The sequence below is a fragment of the Homo sapiens genome, chromosome 15 (assembly GCF_000001405.40).
Source record: "Homo sapiens chromosome 15, GRCh38.p14 Primary Assembly".
Taxonomy (NCBI): Eukaryota; Metazoa; Chordata; class Mammalia; order Primates; family Hominidae; genus Homo; species Homo sapiens.
In genome coordinates this window covers 24425778-24448646 of record NC_000015.10, presented here as the reverse complement: position 1 = coordinate 24448646, position 22869 = coordinate 24425778, and the positions used below count along the sequence as shown (strand labels likewise).

Genomic DNA, 22869 nt, shown 5'->3' with positions numbered 1-22869 from the left:
ACAAATGTCCTAAATTAAGAAGTTAATAAAAAGAGCATCTGTAGTGGGAAATATGGAAAGTCTATGTACTGTATTTAAAACAATTCTGTAAAACCTAAATGATTCTTAAATGTATAAAGTTTCTTTTTATTTAAAGTCACTGCTGATCTTATAAAATAGAACATGAGCAATATGTTGATGGCCATTCATGGATCTCCTTAGCTTCATCACCTTCCTTAATCACTGAAGGTCGCTATTACTGTGAATTTATTTATCCTCTAATTTGTGTTTGTTATATTTATCTCTATGTTTATATTTCTAATATCCATAATGTTTAGTTTTTCTTGTCTTCAAACTTAGATGACATGTGTTTAATGTATACATGTCCCTAGTTTAATCATGAGAAATCATGAGACAAATCCATATTGTGGGACATCTTACAAAATATCTGACCTGTACACTTCAACAGGGTCAAGGTCAAGAAAAAGAAGTGAAGACTATGAACTTGCAGATTGGAGAAGACCTAATGTGTCAGTTAGACCCTGCAATGGTACCCAACGATCCCCAACTGCAAGAAATACCTGTGCTTTGTTGAGTTGCCTCCTCTGTGTCTCACACGAGCAACACATGTGAACTCAACTGTTTTCGAACTCAGAGCTCTCCTAGATAGTGGCTACCTTGGTGGGAATGGAGTGGACACAGGTCCGACAAGTGCAACAAGGGTGTCTGACGGTATAAACAAATATCCTGTGAGAAGGATGCTGGGTCAAAGATTGTACACTTATGCTTTGGGGTATCCACCAGGATAAATAAGTATCCCATGAAAGGCACACTGTAAACATCCAGGACACAGTTTCCTGAAGTCCTGTTGGGCAGGGTGATAATTTATAGTCACTGTCCCTAGAGAGACCTCAAGTGGTTATTAAACATAACAAAAATACAAGAGATGTAGAGGTGATTTTATAAATTATGGCTCAAAGATCCCATGGAGAAGGAAGATAGAAATGGTGAAGTGTTACTTGAAAGTTTGCAGCGGAGTGTAGCTCTCTGAAGACAGAAAATCCTGTATCTTGAGACTTTTTGCCTTAATCTTAGAAATATAAGCAGAGATTATTCTAAGTTGCTTTCAAATCCGATTCTTCATCCAGATCAACTACATATTTTTTTCTCCCTCCCCTTTTATCCTTCGTATCCCATGAACGATGGTCATGTGAATCTCACTGTAAGCAGGGACTGCAGACACCTGTGCATTGCTGTTTTCACGAAATGCCTTGCTCTGACCACTTGTTACTCTTGTCAGCCCCGCTTGTCGATACTTAGAAAATGAAACAGGCTTTGATGTTCCCCAAATAGTGTACTGAATGAAGAGGAAACTCTTATAATTTATAATTTAGAATGTTGAGCATATTTGTACCGAGAGTTTCAGCTTCTACTAGGGCTCAATTCAGTGAACAAGAAGCCCTAATCTCAAGTGTAGGAGTCATGCACCCTTTAAACTTGATTCAGTATTCAGACTAGAGGGCAGAGACAGCACTGGGTTCTTGCCTAAGGATGTGGTCAGATGATGGGGTGTTTTCAATGGCATCTTTCTGAGAATTCTGGTGGCCAATCCAGATTCAGCCAATCCAGACTCATGGTAATGTTTAGGAGCTTAGTGCTCAGCACTGTGTCCTCTGTGCCTGGGACATTATGGTAGCAGAGTTTCATGTCTAATCACTTTTCCAGTCTTAAACCTGAGCACTCAGAGCTCCTCAACCCTCTTGCCACCTAGAGATGAGTCTGTCCTTCTACAAATCTACTTCTGTCTCCTTCATGGCCTGCCACTTGGTGATTTTTTTTTCCTGAAGAATTTGGTCATGGATGATCTTAACAGTACACATCATAATAGACCATATGTATGCATTGAAATAAAGAGGAAAACGGGATTGTACAAGTCACTTACCTTACAGAAACTCCTGTTATAATGAAATAAAAAGAGCAAACCTCCATGACTTAAGATTGCCAATTTAAATGAAACTATCCTTTCCTATGGGGTGAATTGTAAGATTAGAGGGGTAAGAAGGTTTACTGAATTATAAATGCCCCAAATAATAGCACCTGAATTACTGCTACAATCTTCTCAGAAGTGAGAAATACGGTCAAGGTCAGCTGTGTCTCTCATTCTAGGTCTCCAGGACTCAGGAGTTTGTTTTCCCACTGAAGATATGAACATGGTATGGAGAATGCAGTCCATGATCATGGTCTGAAAAAGCAAGAGTCTTGACTTTGTGGATGTCCTTGGGAGTGTAGTATGCAGTCCCATGGCTTAGTAAGCTTTGTGGGCATGGTTCCTGGAACATCCCTGGTGTTCCTCTGTAAAGTGGTGTGGCCTGTGAACAAGGAGCTGTGTTGGGGAAGGGGAACAGTCCTCCCTGCCGTGGGGATCTTTGTTTAGCCCGCACATATGCACAGTCAGCACTCGGCCTCTGTCCATCTCTTAGATCACTACATGGTGGGCTGGGGTACGTTATACTTTCTTTCCTTTTTTCTATTAGGCTATTTCCACCTCTGCACAACACAATCTGTATTACTAACATGCCTCACCTTCATATATCTGATGTCTGTCTAAAGGTTCATTTCCACGTCTTTTTGAGCAGGAATGAACCTACAACTCCATGATTATAAACTTTTTTCATATCTAGTTAACTTTCCTCCATGATAATGTCTATTCTGTGGCTTTTGGGTTTATCACTTGAAATGGTTTGGCTGTGTCTCCACCCAAATCTCACCTTGAATTGTAACAATCCCCATGTGTCAAGGGCAGGGCCAGGTGGACAAAACTGAATCATGGGGGCAGTTTCCCTCATACTATTCTCATGGTAGTAAATAAGTCTCACAAGATTTGATGGTTTTATAAATGGGAGTTCCCCTGCACAAGTTTTCTTGTCTGCCACTATGTAGGATGTGACTTTGCTCCTCATTTCCCTTCTGCCATGATTGTGAGGCCTCCCCAGCCATGTGCAACTGTGAGCCAGTTAAACCTCTTTCCTTTATAAATTACCCAGTCTTAGGTAAGTCTTTATCAGCAACATGAGAACAGATTAATATACCACAGGACAATATAGATCCATGATGTGAGTGTCAAGAGAATGTGTGGTCCCATAAATCCATAATGGAGTCTGCATGATGAAGAAAACTGAATTATTACAGTATTTTCTCAAAGGCTTAAGGCATCCTCTTCCTTTAAAACTTGGGGAATAAAAGGAATCCCTGTACTAAGAAAACACTCTTAATTCAGAACTATTTATGTTCACCATCACTGGTGTTTCTCAATCTTTTCTTCTAATATCTGGAAGTCATGTCTTCTAAAATGTCTTTATAGTGAGATCCTACAAAGACACTGACAGAAAGTGCCTGAAAACAGGGCCTTCTAACATATGTGAGAAAGGCGTCTTTCCTTGAAAAAGTGGTTATGAACACAGGAATTGATAACTGGGTAATGGGAAGTGTGATGGGAAAGAGGAAAGTGGATGAGTGTCCCTGGAGCTTGATGGTGTCTTTCTGAAGCAGGTGCCCTGTGTAGGAATGGGGGATAATAAGGCAAGCTACTTTGCCATAGTCTCCCTATATCTCCATTTGTCCTCTGATCTGTGGTTTTATTGTGGTTTAAATCTGTCTTTGTTATTGTTGTTTTATTTTCTGGTACCTGAATATTACATTTTAAGAAATATTTTTATTTTATCATAGTTTTAGTTTTACAGAAAGTAGTAAAGATAATAGAGTTTCATATATCCTACAGCTTTCTGAAATGTTAACACCTTATATCACCATAGCATATTTATGAAAACTCAGAAATTGACAGTGGTACAAAACTATTAACTGGAAAAGATTTTCTTCATATTTTACCAGCTTTTCCACTAGTGTCATTTTTCTGTTCTAGGATCTAATCCAAGATACCACATTACATTTACTGTCAGGCATATAACTGACCGATTGTTGTATAACATATTACTACATAGTTTAGACTTTCCAACCCAGCCCTACATAGTACTTACAGTTTCTCTGGGTCAGATGCCTGGCAGAGATTTCAAGGGAAGGCTCATCTGGGGAAGGATCACCTACCCAGCTCCTGGGATTCTCGGGAGGATTCAATTTCTGTCCAGGTCAAGATGACTTCACTGGTGAGTTATTCAAACCTTTTTGGGAATTAATAACAATCAATAAAAACAAACAAGTAGAGAACTTTTCCTAATGCAATGTATGAATCCAGTGTTCCCTGACACCACAGCTAGACAAAGACATTTCAAGAAAAGAAAATTACAGACCAGTGTGAAACAGGTAAAAAGTATCAAGGAAATACTATCAAAATTAACTAGTAATATATAAAAAGGAGTATACATTAGGAGCAAAACTATTTATCCCTGCAATGTAAGTCTGGTTAAACATACAAAAACAACTGGTGTTATAAAATATACTAATAGAATTTTTTAAAAAGACTCATGGTCACCTCTAAAGACACAGAATAGGCATTTGACAAATTCCAAACCCATTCATGATAAGAGCTCTGGGAAAGTTAGGCATAGAAGAAAACTTTCTAAACCTACAAAGAGCATCCATGGAAAACTCACATAACATGAGGAAAGACATATAAGCCAACCGAATAGAGTTGAGCACCCCAAAATCAATCTTTATATATAGGGCAAACTTATTTTCAAGGTTGAAAAATTAATTCAAGATGAGAAAGTAGTTTTTCAGCAAATGTTGCTGGGAGAAAGGGATATCCACATGCAAGTTAAACTGTTTCCTGCACCATATATGTATTTGACTCAAAATAGAATATGTGGCTAAATATAAGAGCTAAAACTAAAAATCCCACAGAAGAGAACATAAAAATAGATTTTCATGGCCTTACATGAAACAATGGATTCTAACATGTGACACAAAAGTACAAGTGACAGAAAAAAAAATAGATACATTGAACTTCATGTGGATCAATACCTCTTAAGATGCAAAGTACACCATCAAGACAACTGAAATAATGGAAGAAGATATTCTCAAGTCATATAACTGTTAGGAGACTATTATCCAGAATATATGAAACATTCAGGCATGCACCACCACACCCAGCTAATTTCTGTATTTTTAGTAGAGATGGGGTTTCGCCATGTTACTTAGGCTGGGCTCAAACTCCTGGCCTCAAGTGATCCACCCACCTGAGCTTCCCAAATTGCTGGGATTACAGGCATGAGCCACTGTGCCAAGCCTCGTTCTTCATTATTATTTTCTAAATTTGTATTTCTAAATAATATATTGTTCAGGTATTTTTTGTCTTCAACATTAGATAAATACGTGTATAAATTAATGTTTAATCTTACTCAAATTATAAAAAAATAACAAATCCATATTGTGATACATCCTATGGAACACCTGACAAGTTCTTTTCACTAAGATCAAGGGCAAAAAAATAAGTGAAGACCCAGAAACTGATACAGATTAGACAGGACCTGATGGGGCAGGTAGGTTCTAAGATGTTTCCCAATGATCCACACCTCTAAATATGCAGAACCCTATTCTAATATCCTCACTGTGAGGTTTAGACATGCCATACCACATGTATAAACAAACACAAAAGGGGCAAAGTGTATGGAACAATGGTTTGTAAGAGAGATTATATCAAACAGTGAAGGACAGCGATACCTGAGACATACAATACTGTGACATGAGCTCTACCATTGCATCAAGATACCACTTTGGGAGATGTTCCAGGCTGTGGTGTGGCACGGACTTTGGAAGACAATGTCAGTTGAGAAGATGGAACTGAGAGTCGAGAACACAATGGCTGGATTGCATCTATCATTTCTTCCCATCCAGTGGTAAGAATGGGAGACAGCATCCACGTCAGCATCCATGCACACTGGACTGCTATTGTCATCATTACTCACTGAAATATGGTTCACAGAAGTACAGGAGCAACGCAGAAACAAAGGCAAAGACACAAAGAAAAGTTACTTGAATGAAGATTTAATATTGCACAAAGACTGACGCCTTTACATGTTGTACAAAAACCAAGGCTTTGGTTTTATCTCAAAATAACCATTTTATCTTATAATAACCATTTGAGATAAAGTAAATGATGTATATAAGTCGAATGAACCAACCAAGTGGACACAAACCTACTTTTACTATGCAATTTTCATACATGTGGCTGATAAACTCACTACATTATGAAATAATGAAAGTGGAGCTTTCTATTTATAAGAGCAGAACAGAATTATCAGAAAAATAAGGATAAAAATATTCTTACCTCCATTTGTTTCCCTATAAAACCTTAAGTTTGCTTTATATTTGGAAAATAATTTGTCACTTTCTTCACTACATCAATTCCACTGCCATTCTAGTTTGCATGGAGTATAGGGTTGCTATTTATATGCAGTAAAATTAAGTTAAATGGTGCCAGGCTGCAATATCATAGATGAGGGGTTGTTATTATTTTTGTTATTTTAACCAAGATCTGTCAATGAAATTCTCCGTGTACAGTATTGAAGCCAAGAGACCCTGACTGCAGCCCTAACTGGAAAATCAAATGCCCATCTACTGATTTGGAGCACTTGTAAAATATCAGTGTTCACGCTCTCTTGGTTGCTCACATCTCATAAATCTTGGACACATGTCCCCTATGTCCCCAGAATAATTTTAGAGCATTATATTGATTAGTACCCTTCTTGTACAGTAGGCATATGTTATTGAGTTTCAGCGACTGATTCTGTATGAATGCTTCACTCACAAGAGGATGTGTTGTCAACATAGTCGTGTTGGCATTAAGACACTCCTCACTGCAAGCTCTGAATAAATTCTGGTCTGTTTGTTGGAGTCCTGCTAAATAATATCTGAAAATGGGCCGTTTTGAGACATGCAAGTAACAGGCATCTGTCTTTCAAAAAGTGGTTACATAATTAGCACCAGATGCTAAAACTGGTGACTGAAAAATGCAGAATATGATGAAGAAGATGAAAGAGGATTAGTCTCTGGAACTTGAGGGGGATCTGCCTGAAGCAAGTGTACCTGTGTTGGAGTTGGTAAATTGATATGGAAGTATGCTTTGCTATTCTCTCTCTATGTGCCCTTTCATCTCCTGAGCTGAAGGTATTCTGTTTGTGCTTTGGAATTATTTTCATATCACATTTTATACTTTTTTCAAACACATTTTTTCTTTGAAATAATTTTAAATACACAGAAATATGCAAAGATACTACAGAAAGCTTTATATATCTTTGAATTACATGCAATGTAATAGATTATGTAACCATGAGCCCTAAAAAATAGGTGGCACAAAACTATTTATTGAAGTATAGGCTTTTTCCATATTTTACTAGGCTTTTAAGTAAAAAATGTCATTTTTCTGTCCAGGATACCACATTGCATTGACTGTCAGGTGTATTATTTATTGCTGAATAATAAACTGTCACACACTAAGTGGCTCTTACTCACAGTTTCTCTGTATCATGAATCCAGATGTAGAGGATGGCCAAGGACGAGGTCTCAAGTGAAGGTTCAGGTGGGGAAGGCTCCTCTTCCAAGTTCGTGTGATTGTTGTTAGGAGTCAAGGCCCTGTGCTGGTTGAGATGACTTCACTGGTGAACTATTCCAAACCTGAAAATAATTAATAAATATCTATCACAAACTCTTCATAAAAACTTAACAGTAAAAGTGGAGAAGATATCACTTCCTGATGTATACTATTAGTTAGTTTACACTGACATTACAACTAAAGCAAGACATTTCACGAAAGAAAAATTAAGGCCAATATGTTTTATAAATAAAGGGTAAATGTCTTCAATAAAATGCTAGCAATACAAATCAGCAAATGTAAAAAGAATTATACACCATCAAAAAGGGTATTTGTCGCAGAAATGCAAATTTGGTTCAACATATAAAATAATTAGTGTCATGACCTATAAGAATAAAATAAAAAACAAAAGCCATATGATCATCTCAAAAGATGCAGGAAAGGCACCTGACAAATCCAAAATCCATTTCTGATAACAGTATACAACAAATTAAGCCTATAAGAAAAGTTTCTTTATTTCAAAGGGCATCCATGAAAAACTCAGTATCATCATAATTTAATTTAAAGGCTCAATAATAGCATAAACTTGGACATACAGATCAAAGGAATATAGTAGAACTGAATGTCCAAAAATTAATCTTTACCTTTATAGTCAAATGATTTTATAAGGTTGCCAAGCCAATTCAATACGGAAAAATATATTTGTAACAAATGTTGCTAGGACAATTGAATATCCACAAGCAAGTTGAACTTCTCACTCACATCTTATACATAATTGGCTCAAATTAATCATATATCCAAATGTAAGAGCTAAATAGACCAAACCCTTAGAAGATAATACAGAAATACATAATTTGGGTCTTAGCTTAAACAATAACTCCTATAATTTCTAAGTTATGATACTTAAAGCCGAAGAAAAGGAAATAAAAAAATGAATATATTTAACTTTGTGAGAATTAAAATCTTCTGAGACTCAAAGTACATAATTAAAATTAAAAAGATAATGCAAAGAATAGAAGAAAATCTTCACAATCACATAGCAGAAAAGAATCTATTAGCCACAATATATAAAATATTTTACAACTCAAAATAAAAAGGCAAATATCACAATCAAATTGGTGAACTATCTGAATAGACATGTATCCAAAGATACTATAGTCATGTCTAGTAAGCACATGATATGAGGCCTAAGCCTTTTGTCATTAGGAAAATGCAACTCTAAACAACCATGAGACACACTTCACAAATCTAAAGGGTATATTGCAAAAAAAAGTAAATTTAAAAAGGCAAAATACTTTGTGTGATTTTGGTCATGTGACACTCTGCAATGTGAAAAAGTAGAGAGATAATAAAATGTTTGGTATTTACTGGGAGCTTGGAAAAGAGGCAGGTCAAACTGGTGAGGTACAGCAGATTTGCTCTAGGCAGTGAAATTATTCTGGCATCATACTGTAATGATAAATACATGATTATATTTTCCAAATCCTAAATAACTTTATAATACAAAAAATGAACTTAAAATATACAAATTGAAAACCTTCTACAGTAGGTAGCAGATAGCATGGGGCTATACACATAATAGAATTAAATAACACATCAGTGAAATAACCTCACTGAATGGAGGGGGGAAAGCAGCTGACCCAAGGAACATAGCAAGTAAGTGGATATTCTGAGTCTAAAGGGTAAAGATTTATCCCTAAAAACTTTAGTTGGTAAAGTTCTTTCTCATGGCCATATACATTTCTAATTCTGAAACCACTTACACAAGTCTTCCGGATTATGTGATTAAATAACAGAAGCATCTTTATCACTGTTAGTGTGGTAGGCTATATACAAGTAAGCGGGAATAGGTGCACTGATTCACATGGTACTGGATTAGATCATGGGGTGCTGGAGGATTATTAGGAATTCATATTTAACTTAAAGATACAGATACATGATAAAATATTTATGTGTGCGTGTGTCTCTGTGTGTGTGTGTGTGAATCAGCATACACAGATGTATTTGCTCTGTCACCACACAAAATCACAAATCAACAGATGCCCCAGGAGCAATGAATATGTCAAGGGCCCAGATCTCCATTTCTAATTCAATTTTCCAATATAAAGAACTAGGTCTCTGTGAAAAAAAAAGTGGTTAATACCAGGCTTGTTAGGAAATCCACACAATTAGCTTAAGTACCTAGTAGTGCCAGAAAAAATAAAATGCCAAACAACAGTGCAAACAACTAACCAACCACATAACAACAGCGAAGCTTCATTATGGTAGTGTTTCAAAATGACAAACGATCCAACTGAAAGACCTTCCAATAGCCAACACTGCAACAATTTAAACAAATAAATGAAGTAGTAGAAGGAAAGAGTAAAACAAATATCCATGTTTGCATACTGACAAAAATGACTGCATAAATATAACGATTATTGGAGGAGAATAGACACTTTCAGGATGAAAGGTCCAAATAACTTTTGGTAAACATTCTGCTCATAAAGTGGAGCATTTTTTGTTTTGTTTGTTTTTTTTTTTTCAAGATGGCAGATTGGAGACTTTGTTAGTGTGCCTCACCTGCTTAGAAAGAGCAAAATAGTGTCTAGAGATTCACACTGTGAATTTGTATCCAACAATCACAGGAACTCAGCAGAAGAAGTGAAAGAACCTTTGGATACTTTGAAAGGAGCAGCAGGCAGCAACTTGCACCATGTGTCAGATGGACAACTGAGCCTTCAGAGTGCAAAAGGGGGAGACTCTGTGATACATTCCCACTGGGGTACCAGGCAATCGAGGTCACAGGGAAGCACCTTAACCCTGCCCAGCACTGGAGCTGACTTAGAGAGGAGGGGACCATGAAAGAAGGAGTGGCACCTGGGTGTGCTGCGTGTGCACTCCCAGATCCCAGCAGGGACAGAAGGAAGCTATTCCTGACCCTAACTCACAGAAGATCTTGCAGAAATCAGCGAAGTAACCCAGGCAGCAGTCATGCACTGGAAGAAGCTCCCAACTGAGGGAGAAGCTGACCAACTAAGATTTGTATTTGATCTAATATTGAGCAGAGGATGAACCCCTTAAGGCCTGAACCAAGGGGCATGCAGGAAGCTTTCTTGTGCCAGGGTCATGGGAGTTGGGTAGTGCTGCTTCACATGTCAAATCAAGGGGTGTGGCCTCAGAGCTACCGTTTCAGTTTCAGTCTCCAGTGGGAAGTCTTGCAGCCTGGGGCAGGTTTGTGTTCTCAGCCTAGACTGCCTGAGACTTAGCTGGCTATTGTGGGTGTTTGCCAGCAGAAGTCTGCATGTGTAAGACCTTCTGTGTCAAGGTTGTGGGAATTGACCTGCCTCTTGCTACCCCTCTCTCCATGTACAGACTCTCATGTGGCAGAGGGTGTTCTCCTCCCTGGAACACTATCCCAGTGGTCAGGGAACTGTCCACTGATCCCCATTGTGGCTGCTGCTTACACCCACACTTGGAGAGGCAGAGTATGGACTTTCCTGACCCAGCCCACACTCGGCTTTGCCCCTCTACCTGTCCTAGTAGCAGAACAGGGACTTTTCAGAGTTCCATGTCACTTCCCATCAGCTGACTACTTCCCCTGGGTAACAAAGGTTAAGCATAAATCCCACTACCGTGACTGCAGCTGGCTCTCTCCTGCAAGTGCCACCTTCTGGCCCACGGTCAACCAACACAGTCCATTACAACATCTGCTGGCACACTAACATGATACTGGTATAAATGTAGACATACAGACCAGAGGAACAGAACAGAGACCCCAGAAATGAAGCCAAATACTTACGATTAACTGATTTTCAACAGAACAGACAAAAACATACACTGAGGAATGAACACCCCATTCAATAAAACGTGCTGGGAAATAAGATAGCCACATGCAGAAGAATGAAACTGGATCCTTATCTGTCACCATATATAAAAATTAACTCAAGATGGATTAAAGACTTAAATGTAAATCACGAAACTATAAAGATTCTAGAAGAAAAACTAGGAAAAAATCTTCTGGACATTGGCCTAGGCAAAGAATGTTTGACTAAGACCCTGAAAGCAACTACAACATAAACAAAAACAAATAAATGGGACTTAGCGAAACTGAAAAGCTTCTGCACAGCAAAAGAAATAATCGACAGAGTAAAGAAACAACCTACAGAATGGGAGAAAATATTTGGAAACTGTCCATCCAACAAAGGACTAATTCAGAATCTACAAGAAACACAAACAAATCAGCAAGAAAAAAATAAATAACCCCATTAAAAAGTGGGGAGATGACATGAACAGGCAAAAGAAGATACACAGATGGCCAGCAAACATATGAAAAAAAAATGCTCAACATCACTAATCATCAGGAAATGCAAATTAACACCACAATGCGATACCAATCTTACCCTAGTCAGAAGGACCGTTATGAAAAAGTCAATAAATGATAGATATTGGTGTGGATGAAGTGAAAAGAGAATGCTTAGACACCCTTGGTGGGAATGTAAATAAGTACAACCTATATGGTAAACAGTATGGAGATTTCTCAATGAACTTTTAAAAGCAGAGCTACCATTCAATCTAGCAATCCCACCACTGGGCATGGACCCAAATGAAAGGAAGTCATTCTATCAGGCGCCACCTCCAGTCTTCCTGGACCCTGCAATTCGGGGGTTTCAGGCTCGGGACAAGTGCAGGGTTCTCCATAAAGGCAGCCTCGGTGGTGGACCCGACCCCTTGCAGTCCCACATGGAGGGAGCGGAGGGGCGCGTTCTGCAGCCTGCTGCACAGGATAAAAGGTAAATTCCACCTGGTGAGCAGAAGGCGCCTGTGGCAGCTCCGCTGGGGCTGGGGGAGTACAGGCAAGAGTGGCTGGTGGCCTGGGGCACAAGAGTCTGCGGAGCACATGCTTAGAAACCTGGGGCAGACAGGCAAAGGTGGTGGTCGCAGAGACTTTGGTTCAGGGGCTCAACACATCGGCCAGGGATGTGGCCCATCACCTAGTCTCTGGAAGCACTTTGTGCTCCTCACTCTGCTTCCTGTTACAAATCATGACAACATATTTCAGAGGACTTGGGGGAAATTCGCCCTCTTGGCACCGTCAGGTCGGTTCTCAGTGGCGTTCCCCCGGGGAAGGGAGGAAGTCCCCACAGATGGTGTGAAGGAGGGGTGCCCAATCTCGGGCTTGGCACCTGGATGAGCTCCACTTCCAGGCCCCAAAGCCCTTATTGCATCTGCTGCAGACTCCGTCAGACTGGGCATGGTGATCCAAGAGTTCACCCAAGTGAGAAATCTGGGTTAAGTTAGGTGTTGCTGCCCAGCGGGAGACCAGAGCCTGCCTTCTTCCTGGGCCTGAGTGACATGGCCACTGCCAGGGTTGGGGTCCAGGGAAGCCTGTTTCTGGTGTCACTGTGCTCTGTGCCAAGTAAGGAGAAATGTTTTTAAGGAGTTGACAACAACTCCTGAGAAAGCATTTCAGTGGTTACTGGAGGACTTGCACTCTGGAAATGCAGAGAACCCAGGACTGCTGCCAGGATTAACTGGGTGACTACACATGAGAGGGCAGACAGAGCCTGGCTCATTTCAGTACTCTGCATGGGTTAATTGCCACCATCAGCTGTGATGGGAACATGTGGTGATTGCTTCACAAGATGACAGTGGCCCTGAGGAGTCTGGAGACTGGGAGGTCCCAGATCAAGGCGCCAGCAGGTTTGGTGTCTGGTGACAGCCCACTTCCTGGCTCATAGTCAGTGGGTTTCTCTTGTGCTGGCATCTCTCTCACTCCTAGGCCAGGCTCCTTCTGCAACCAATCGTTAGCTGCCAACCCTTAAGGGCCAGGCAATACATTTGCAAATTACAACCTGGAACATCCAAGGTAGCAGGAAGAGAAAGAGCAACTTTTGTCTTGGCAGCCAAGCTTCATTGTTGGCTGGCACCCAATGTGCATTTCAGGTTTTTATGGTTCCTTGTCTGAGGTTATTGTAGCTGATTCCCAGGGTATTCTAATCTAAGAAGCAGTGAGTGAGCAGTGACTTAGAAGCAGTCAGTGAGCCTGAACTTTGCTAACTGGAAGGACTGGCTGTCCCCTCCCCTTACCTTCCAGTCTCTCTCCCTGACTGCCCTGTACAAGACAGCCCCACCTGAAATAACTGAAGGCACTTCAGTTCTGTGTTGCTTTTCCTTGCAAAACATGGGTAAGGTCTTAAAAAGATCCTGGAAGTGTGTCTCTGTGGCATGCATCGAGGTACGTATCCTTCCTTGAGGTGTGTTAGTTTCATCTTTCAGTACTCAGAGTTGTCTGCATAGTGCCAGGGAGGGAGGAGGTGCCAAACCCTGTGCTCAGCCAGGATGCCCTGGCCTGGCCACGCCTTCTGAGGCTTCCACAGACCTAAGAGGGACTAAGAGCTGGGGTCAAAATGTTCCTGTCACTGACGCCCTGCTTCCGGAAAGGAGATCCAGAAGGAAAAAGAAAAGATGTTGGGACCTTTTTTTTTTTCTTCTTTTCCTAGCCACATCCTTTGGGGGTTGGGATGGGACAAAATAAATGTATGTTCAAGAAGACAGTCTATGCTGAAAATGACATACAGTATAACCACCCAATGGATTCACCTTGCCTGCTGCCTAAAAGAGTGGATTTATCAAGACAGGAGAATTGCAATAGAGAAAGAGTAATTCACAGAAAGCCAACTGTGTAGGAGACTGGAGGAGTTTTATTATTACTCAAATCAGTCTCCCAGGACATTCAGGTATCAGTGTTTTAAAGGATAATTTGGTGGGTGGGGGAAGGCCAGTGAGTTGGGAGTTCTGATTGGTCAGATCAGAGATGGAATCACAGGGAGTCCAAGCTGTCCTCGTATGCTGACTCAGTTCCTAGGTGGAGGCCACAAGATCAGATCAGGCAGTTTATCCACCAGGGTTGTGCCAGCTGATCCATCAAGTGCAGGGGCTGCAAAATACCTCAAGCACTGATCTTTGGAGCAGTTTAGGGAGGGTCAGAATCTTGTAGCCTCCAGCTGCATGACTCCTAAGCCATAATTTCTAATCATGTGGCTAATTTCTTAGTCCTACAAACGCAGTCTAGTCTCCAGGTAAGAAAGAGGTTTGTTTTGAGAAAGTACTGTTACTGTCTTTGTTTTAAACTATAAGCTGTAAAGTAAGTTCCTCCCAAAGTTAGTTTAACTTTGCCCAGGAAGGAACAAGGACTGCTTAAAAGGTTAGAAGCAAGATGGAGTCGGTTAGGTTAGATCTCTTTCACTGTCTCAGTCATAATTTTGCAAAGGCAGTTTCAGCCAGGTGCAGAGGCTCACAGCTGTAATTCCAGTACTTTGGGAGGCAGAGGCAGATGGATCACTTGAGGGCAGGAGTTCCAGACCAGCCTGGCCAACAAGGCAAAATCCCATCTCTACTAAAAATACAAAAATTAACCAGGTGTGTCATGCCTGCAGTCCCAGCTCCTCCAGCGGCTGAGGCACAAGAATTCCTTGAATCCAGGAGGCAGAGGTTGCAGTGAGATGAGATTGGTCCACTGCATTCCAGCCTGTAGGACAAAGTGAGACCCTGTCTCTCTCTCTCTCTCTCTCTCTCTCTCTCTCTCTCTCTCTCTCTCTCTCTCACACACACACACACACACACACACACACACACACACACACAGTCATTCTATCAAAAAGACACTTACACTTCTAGGTTTATCACAGCACAATTCACAACTGCAAAAATATGAAATCAATCTAAGTGCCCATCAACCAATTAGTGGATAAAGAAAATGTGTGTGTGTGTGTGTGTGTGTGTGTGTATTACAGAATACTACTCAGCCATAGAAAAGAACAAAATAGTGTTTTTCAAAGCAATTTGGCCATTATCATAATTGAAGTAACTCAGGAGCAGAAAACCAAATACCACATGTTCTCACTTACAAGTTTGGGGTAAGCAATGGATATGCAGGAGCATGCAGAGGGGGATCATGGACATTAAAGATTCTGAAAGGAGGAGGGTTGGAGGTGAGTGAGGGATAAAAAATTACCTATGAGGTAAAATGTACACTTTTGATGTGACAGGTACACTAAAAGCCCCAGACTTCACCACCATACAATTCATGCATGTAACCAAAAACTACATGTAATCCCAAAGCCATTGAAATTTTAACAAATTTATTTCAAAGAAAAAGCAGTGGTGTATGATTCTCCCAGTATTGAGTGTGCATTGTATATAGTGACTTTTTTAATACACACAACATAAAAAGGGAGAAAAAGAATAATTTTACAGAAGAGATTTTTAGAACTAAAAGATTTTTATCCAGGTGATCAAATTAACATCAACAGTGATAGAGCCTGTTGACAGCTTGTGCCCTGGATATTATGTGATAGGAATAGTACTTTTCATCTGTATTCTTCCTCCCTTAAGCCCAGAAGTCCAGTCTCATCATGAGAGAAACATCAGAGAAATCCCAAATTAGAAACATCAACGGCATCAAAAACAAGGAAACTCTTAGAAACTATCACATTCAATGGAGCCTATGAAGCAATAATATCTAAATGTGATGACATATCCTAGAAGAGATCCTAAAACATAAACTTAAGATTAAGCAAAAACTAAAAAATCCGAATAAAGTATGTATAGTACTCAGTGACAATACATGATATTGGTTGCTTAATTTTGACAAATGTTTCACACTATGAGACTAATAATAAAGGACACTGTGCATGGAGTAAATGGAAACTCTATACTAGATTTGCAACTATTCTTAAAACCATAGAACATTTTTTTGTTGGTTTTTGTTTTTTCTTTTTTGTTTTTTTTCTGAGACAGAGTCTCCCTCTGTTGCCCAGGCTGGAGTGCAGTGGCATGATCTCGGCTTACTGGAACCTCCGCCTCCTGGGGTCAAGCGATTCTGCTGTCTCAGCCTCCCAAGTAGCTGGGATTACAATCGTCCACCACCGTGCCAGGCTAATTTTTTGTATTTTTATTAGAGACAGGGTTTTGCCATGTTGGTCTTGAACTCCTGACCTAAGGTGATCTGCCCGCCTCAGTCTCCTAAAGTGCTGGGATTATAGGTGTGAGCCACTGTGCCCGGCTTTGGAAAACCATTCTTTAAAACTTGTTTTTTTTTTTTTGTTGTTGTTGTTGTTGTTAATGTCACTCCCAAGCTTAAAAAAAACCAATGATTAGCAATATTGTTGATACCTCCTTTGTGCATCTCCTTAATTTCTCAGTTTTCCTTAAGCACTGAACTTAACTATATTGTGAATTGTCATTCCATACTTTAAAAATAGTTTTTCCTCTTTGAGTATTTCTGAATACTATATTCTTTAGGGCTTTTTTGTCTTCAGATTTAAGTGAAGTTATTTCATTCATTAATATTCCTAGTTTAATCATGAGAAAATATCAGCTAACACCATATCGTGTGACATCCTATTAAATACCTGACTGGTACCTTTCAAAAGGGTCAAGGTCATGAAAAAGAAGTGAAGGCCAGGAAACTGTTTCATATAGGAGAATACCTGATGTGTCAGGTAGACTCTAAGTTGGTGCCCATTTATCCCCACCTTCTCATATACACGACCTTCGACTGTAAACCCATCCAAGTGAGTCTAAGCAGGAATTGTGACTTGCTTTGAAACAATAGAATAGTGCAAAGGTATAGAAGTGTCACTTGGATTCTTATATATGATTATGATTTTGGTCTTGCTAGAAATGTCTCTCTCGATGGATTTTATGAAGCCATGTGACAGAAGCCCCCTTGGCAAGGCACTTTATTTAGCCAATGGCCAACAGCCAGGAAGGTAAGAGGCTTTTTGTGCAATAGACTGTTCTACAGTTGGAAATATTATATTTAAAACTAACCACACTGCCCAAAGAAGTTTACAGACTAAATGCCATTCCTACCAAACTACTAATGACATTCTTCGCAGAACTAGAAGAAAACTGTGTTAAAATTCATATGGAACCAAAAAACAGCCGCAATAGCCAAGGTAATCATAAACAAAAAGAACAAAGCTGGAGGCATCATGTTACCTGACTTCAAACTATACTACAAGGATAAAGTAACCAAAAAGCATGGTGCTGGTACAACAGCAGGCACATAGACCAGCTGAACAGAATAGAGAGCCTATGACCATCTGACCTTTGACAAAGCTGACAAAAACAAGCAATGGGGAAAAGACTCTCTATTCCATAAACAGTGCTGGGAGAACTGGCTAGCCATATGTAGAAGACTGAAACTGGACCCCTTCCTTACACCATATAAAAAATTAACTCAAGATGGATTAAAGGCTTAAATGTAAAACCCTAAATTATAAAAACCCTGGAAGACAACCTAGGCAATACCATCCTGGATATAGGAATAGGCAAAGATTTCATAACAAAAACTCTGAAAGCAATTGCAACAAAAGCAAAAATTGGCAAATGTGATCCAATTAAACTTAACAGCTTTGCGCAGCAAAAGAAACTATCAGAGTGAACAGACAAAGTATAGACTGGGAGAAAATATTTGCAAACTATGCATCTGATGGAAGTATAATATCCAGCATCTATAAAAAACTTAAACAAATTTACGAGAGAAAAACAAACAACCGCATTAAAAAGTAGGCAAAGCACCGGGCGCGGTGGCTCACGCCTGTAATCCCAGCACTTTGGGAGGCCAAGGCGGGCGGATCACAAGGTCAGGAGATCGAGACCATCCTGGCTAACATGGTGAAACCTCGTCTCTACTAAAAATACAAAAAATCAGCCAGGTGTGGTGGCAGGTGCCTGTAGTCCCAGCTACTTGGGAGGGGACAGGAGAATCGCTTGAACCCGGGAGGCGGAGGTTGCAGTGAGCCGAGATCGCGCCACTGCACTCCAGCTTGGGCAACAGAACAAGACCCGGTCTCAAAAAAAAAAAAAAAGAAAAGAAAAGAAAAGTAGCAAAGGATAAGAACAGACAATTTCCAAACAGGAGATACATGCGGCCAACAAGCATATGAATAAAAGCTCAATATCATTGATCATTACAGAAACGCAAATCAAAACCACAATGAGATACCATCTCATACCAGTCAGAATGGCTATTACTAAAAAGTCAAAATAACAGATGCTGGTGAGGTTGCAGATAAAAAGGATCACTTACACACTGTTGGTAGGAGTGTAAGTTCATTCAACCATTGTGGAAAGCAATATGTCATTTCCTCAAAGAGCTAAAATCAGAACTACCATTCAACTCAGCAATCCCATTACAGGGTATACACCCAGAGGAATAGAAATCATTCTTCCAAAAAGACACATTCACATGAATGTTCACTGGAGCACTACTTACAAGAAAAAAGACATGGAATCAACTTAAATGCTTATCAATGACAGGATGGATAAAGAAAATGTGGTACATATATATCATGGAATACTATGTAGCTGAAAAAAAACAGAGTCATGTCTTTTACAGGAACATGAATGGAGCTAGAAGCTATTATCCTTAGCAAACTAACACAGGAGCAGAATACCAAATTATCACATATTCTCACTTTTAAGTGGGAGCTAAATGATGAGAACTCATGAACACAAAGAACGGAACAAAGGTCACTGGGGCCTACTTGTAAGTGAAGGGTAGAAGGAGGGAGAGGAGCAGAAAAAGTAAATATTGGGTAGTAGGCTTAGTACCTGGGTGAAAAAATGATCTGTACAATAAACCTCCATTACACAAGGTTACCTATATAACAAAACCATACCTGTATCCACAAACCTAAATTTAAAGATATAAAGTTAAAAAATCAAAATCATATAAAAACTATAAAAAATACTAAACTAAGCTACTTTCAAATAAAGTTATATTGTTCACAGTTACTGTATCTTATAATAACAAATAATCCTAATTCCTTTCTCCTGTCCTTTGCATTATTGCTGATATCCACTTCATATATATATGTGTATATATATATACATATACACACACACAAACACACATGCACATGTGCATATATCTGTACACATATATACTTATACATAAGATATATGCATAGGCATATATTATTTAATAATTTTTCTATTTTCAAGAAATTGTTTTTTCTTATAATAAACTAAGGATATAAAAATGTTAAACCAACAGAAAGATAAAATTATATATAACTCATATTTTAAGGAATGTGAGAGATGGAAAAATATAAAATGCTCAATGAGAATCACAAAAGGCAGAAAATGAATGGAAGATGAAAATAGGAAGAAGGAACAAGGACAACAAATCAAAAGCATTGACAAATATGATAAATATTAATCCAACTGTATCACTTACCACTTTGAATGTCAATGGTCTAACTGCACCAAGTAAAAGACACAGATTTACAAAATGAATCAAAAAACAAGACACAACTGTTATTTATAAGCCCAACCCAAATATAAAGACAAATAAACGTAAATGAATGGAACAAAATGTACGATGCTAACTCTAATCAAAGTAAACAAGAAGAGCTATATGAATTACAGGCAGAGCAGACTTCAAAGCAAGAAAAGTCATCAGGAATAAAGAAGGGCATTACATAGAGATGAAGAGCCATTCTTCCAAGAAGATGTCCTAATTCTTAAAGCCTATGAGCCTGATAACAGAGCGTAAACTATGAGGCAGAAATCAACAGAACCACAAGGAAAAAGATGAATTCAGTATTATAGTTGGAAACGTTAACACCCTATATCAGATACGGACAGATCTAGCAGGCAGTAATTCAGGAGGGAAAAGCTGAACTCAACAGCACCAACAAGCAACTGGGCATAACTGACACCTACAGTCTCCTTCCCTCAACTACTCCAGAGGACACATTCTTCTTAAGCTCACATGGAATATTCAGCAAAATGTGCCACATTCTGAGACAAAAAATACCCCAACAATTTTTAAAAAGTAAATCATACAATGTCAGCTCTAAGACCACAGTGGAATTAAAATAGAAATCAAAGGATGAATGGAATGATAACTGTAATATCCCAAAATGCATTGAGATTAAACAACACACTTCCATATAATATATGGGTCAAAGAAGATATCACCAGAGAAATTTTTTAAATTAACTAAATGAAAATAAAAACACAATTTATCAAAATTTGTAGGATGAAAGGAAAGCAGAACATATAGGCAAATAAATACCATTAAACACATACATAGGAAATGACGAAAAGACCAAAAATCTGTCATCTGTGTTTCCACCTTTGGAACCTAGAAAAGGAAGAATATATTAAATCTAAAGTCAGTAAAAGAAAAGCGATAACGTTGTTAACAGACTAAAACAAAGGAAAAGTTAAAGCAACTGGATTTCTCAAACACCTATTATCTTAATAGTTCTCAGAACACAGAGGCACCCAAAATTAACAGGGCAAACAAAGCACCCCAACACCCCCCTTGCTTACGGGCATGCAGCCATGACCCCCTCAGAAATGGGAACCTCAAGATTTAGAAATGATCAGTCTCGGGCTACTGAGGCCGGGCAGTATCATTTCCTCCGAAGTCACGCTGTACATTTTAGAATAGCTAAATAAAAGATTTTTAGTGTTCTCACCATAAAGTATTAGCTGGTGAGTTGATGCCCATGTTAATTAGCTTGATTGAATCTTCCCCAATGAATACAAGAATCAAAATATCACACTGTTATCCATAAATATACGCAATGTGTCAACTAAAAATAAAAGTTTTGGTAAATTCTTTATCTATGAATAATTCACAAATAGGAAACGTAGGTAAGTAACAATTGTTATGTCCATAATATAAAAGGGCATATGTGACAGAAAGCAAGCTTTTTAAATGTACGTTACGGTCTGGGAAACACGGAGAAATCCTGACGTTTGAAGAACAAACAGGGACGACGACACAGGCAGGCACCGCCTCAGGAACAAGCGCGCGTTCCGGGCGAAGCCACCGGAAAGCCCAGCGCAGACCCCTCAGACATCCGCCCTGAGTTCTCCTGTAGATCTCACCGCCCTCTCCCCCTGTCAGCCGCGCCCTCTGATCACCGCCCTCCACCTTCCTCCCTCACTCCCTGTCAGCCTTGCCCTGCACCCGCGGCCCTCACGCCCCACCTGGGCCTGGCTCCCGCCCCCAAGCCCAGCCTGCGTGGCAGCCTCCGGTTCCCCTCACTGCGCAGCTGCGACCCCCGCACCCGCACTTCCCTTCAGGCTGCTCCCAGCCTCACCTGTGTGGGCGCCAGGTGGAGAGGAGTCCGCAGATCTGAGTTTTCTCCTCCATGGATCCCACCACCTGCAAAAGCACTGAGGTGGCAGAAACCTGCCCTGGCGGGGAAGCGAGGGTCTGAGCGATAGAGAAAAGGCCAGGAACAAGGGCAGCCCCATGAGCCCTGCAGTCAGGCAGCCGGGGGTCCTCTTTGCTCTTCTCCACCCTCCTTTCTCCCAGACCCACGCCCCCCTGGCCCAGCCCAGGAGCCTCCCCAGGGGACAGGGCCCACTCACTCCTCAACGTCCTTCCCATAGGCTGAGCTCATGGGCTGGGGTAACATCTCAGGGAACCAAACCCAGACATTCGAATCCCTCCCCACAGAGCGCAGTCCTCAGGGAGCGGCCCTCCCTGCCTCCCCTGCCCAGTCCCTCCGTGGTCTGCCCTTCCTGCTCCTGCGTCCTCACCAATTACTCATCCCAGCGCTCCTTCCAATCCACCGCCCTCTTCTCATGGCCTGGCCTGTGCCAGGCACACAGGTTTTCCTCCTCGCTTTCCCTCCCCTGTCTCCTGGACCCACTGCGCCTCACTCTCCAGCATCTCCTCCAATGTTCCTCCTCCTGGAGGCTTCCCCTGTCCATCCCATCCCAGGCCTGAAACCTGTCCTCTCAGTTCCCAAGGGCAGCTCTTCCACCTTACAGTTTAATTTTTGTCAAGTTTTCTGAAACCCTGTTGGACAGAAGCATCACAGAACATGGCAACTTTGTCTATGGTGTCTCTGAGCCCCACACATGTCCTGGACAGAAAGCAACTCTGAAAATTCTCTGGTAATCTATAAAAGTATAAATCACTTTTAAAAGATTATTATCTGATACAAGAAAATAAATTGAAGTTCCCATTTCTTTTCTACAGACGATAATCGGAAAACATTTGCTGTGTGCAGTTGTATGCACAGATTTTCGGAGTGGCTTTTTTTTTTTTTTAACTGAAGAAGCAATTTTGGTATTTACTCATCAAAGAGAAAGAGAAGAATACACACCTATATTATGAGCCATAAGTATAAGGAAATGTCTTGCAGACGTTTACAAATACTATGTAGAAGGAATCAGAGATTCAAGCCAGTATCTATAAATTTCAGGTAAAAGAAAAACAATATGCTGAAGTTTATTCGTGCATATTAACAAAATAACTGGTCTTTGTGTGCTGGAAGGGAGTCTTGGTATTCCATGTATTCAAATCAATGCTTTTGAAC

At 40.1% G+C, this 22869-nt stretch overlaps 2 long non-coding RNA genes across 2 annotated transcripts in view; both read right to left on the bottom strand.

Moving 5' to 3' along the window:
* The window catches only part of LOC105370733 (uncharacterized), a 440742-nt gene that overhangs the window by 93775 nt on the left and 324098 nt on the right, over positions 1 to 22869 (bottom strand). The window lies entirely within an intron of this gene.
* On the bottom strand, positions 680 to 7520 carry PWRN3 (Prader-Willi region non-protein coding RNA 3). Its single transcript, NR_130780.1, has 4 exons — positions 7447 to 7520; positions 5656 to 5899; positions 4014 to 4154; positions 680 to 1069 (listed from the first exon to the last, which is right to left on the bottom strand). It is a non-coding gene; the product is annotated as a Prader-Willi region non-protein coding RNA 3 (long non-coding RNA).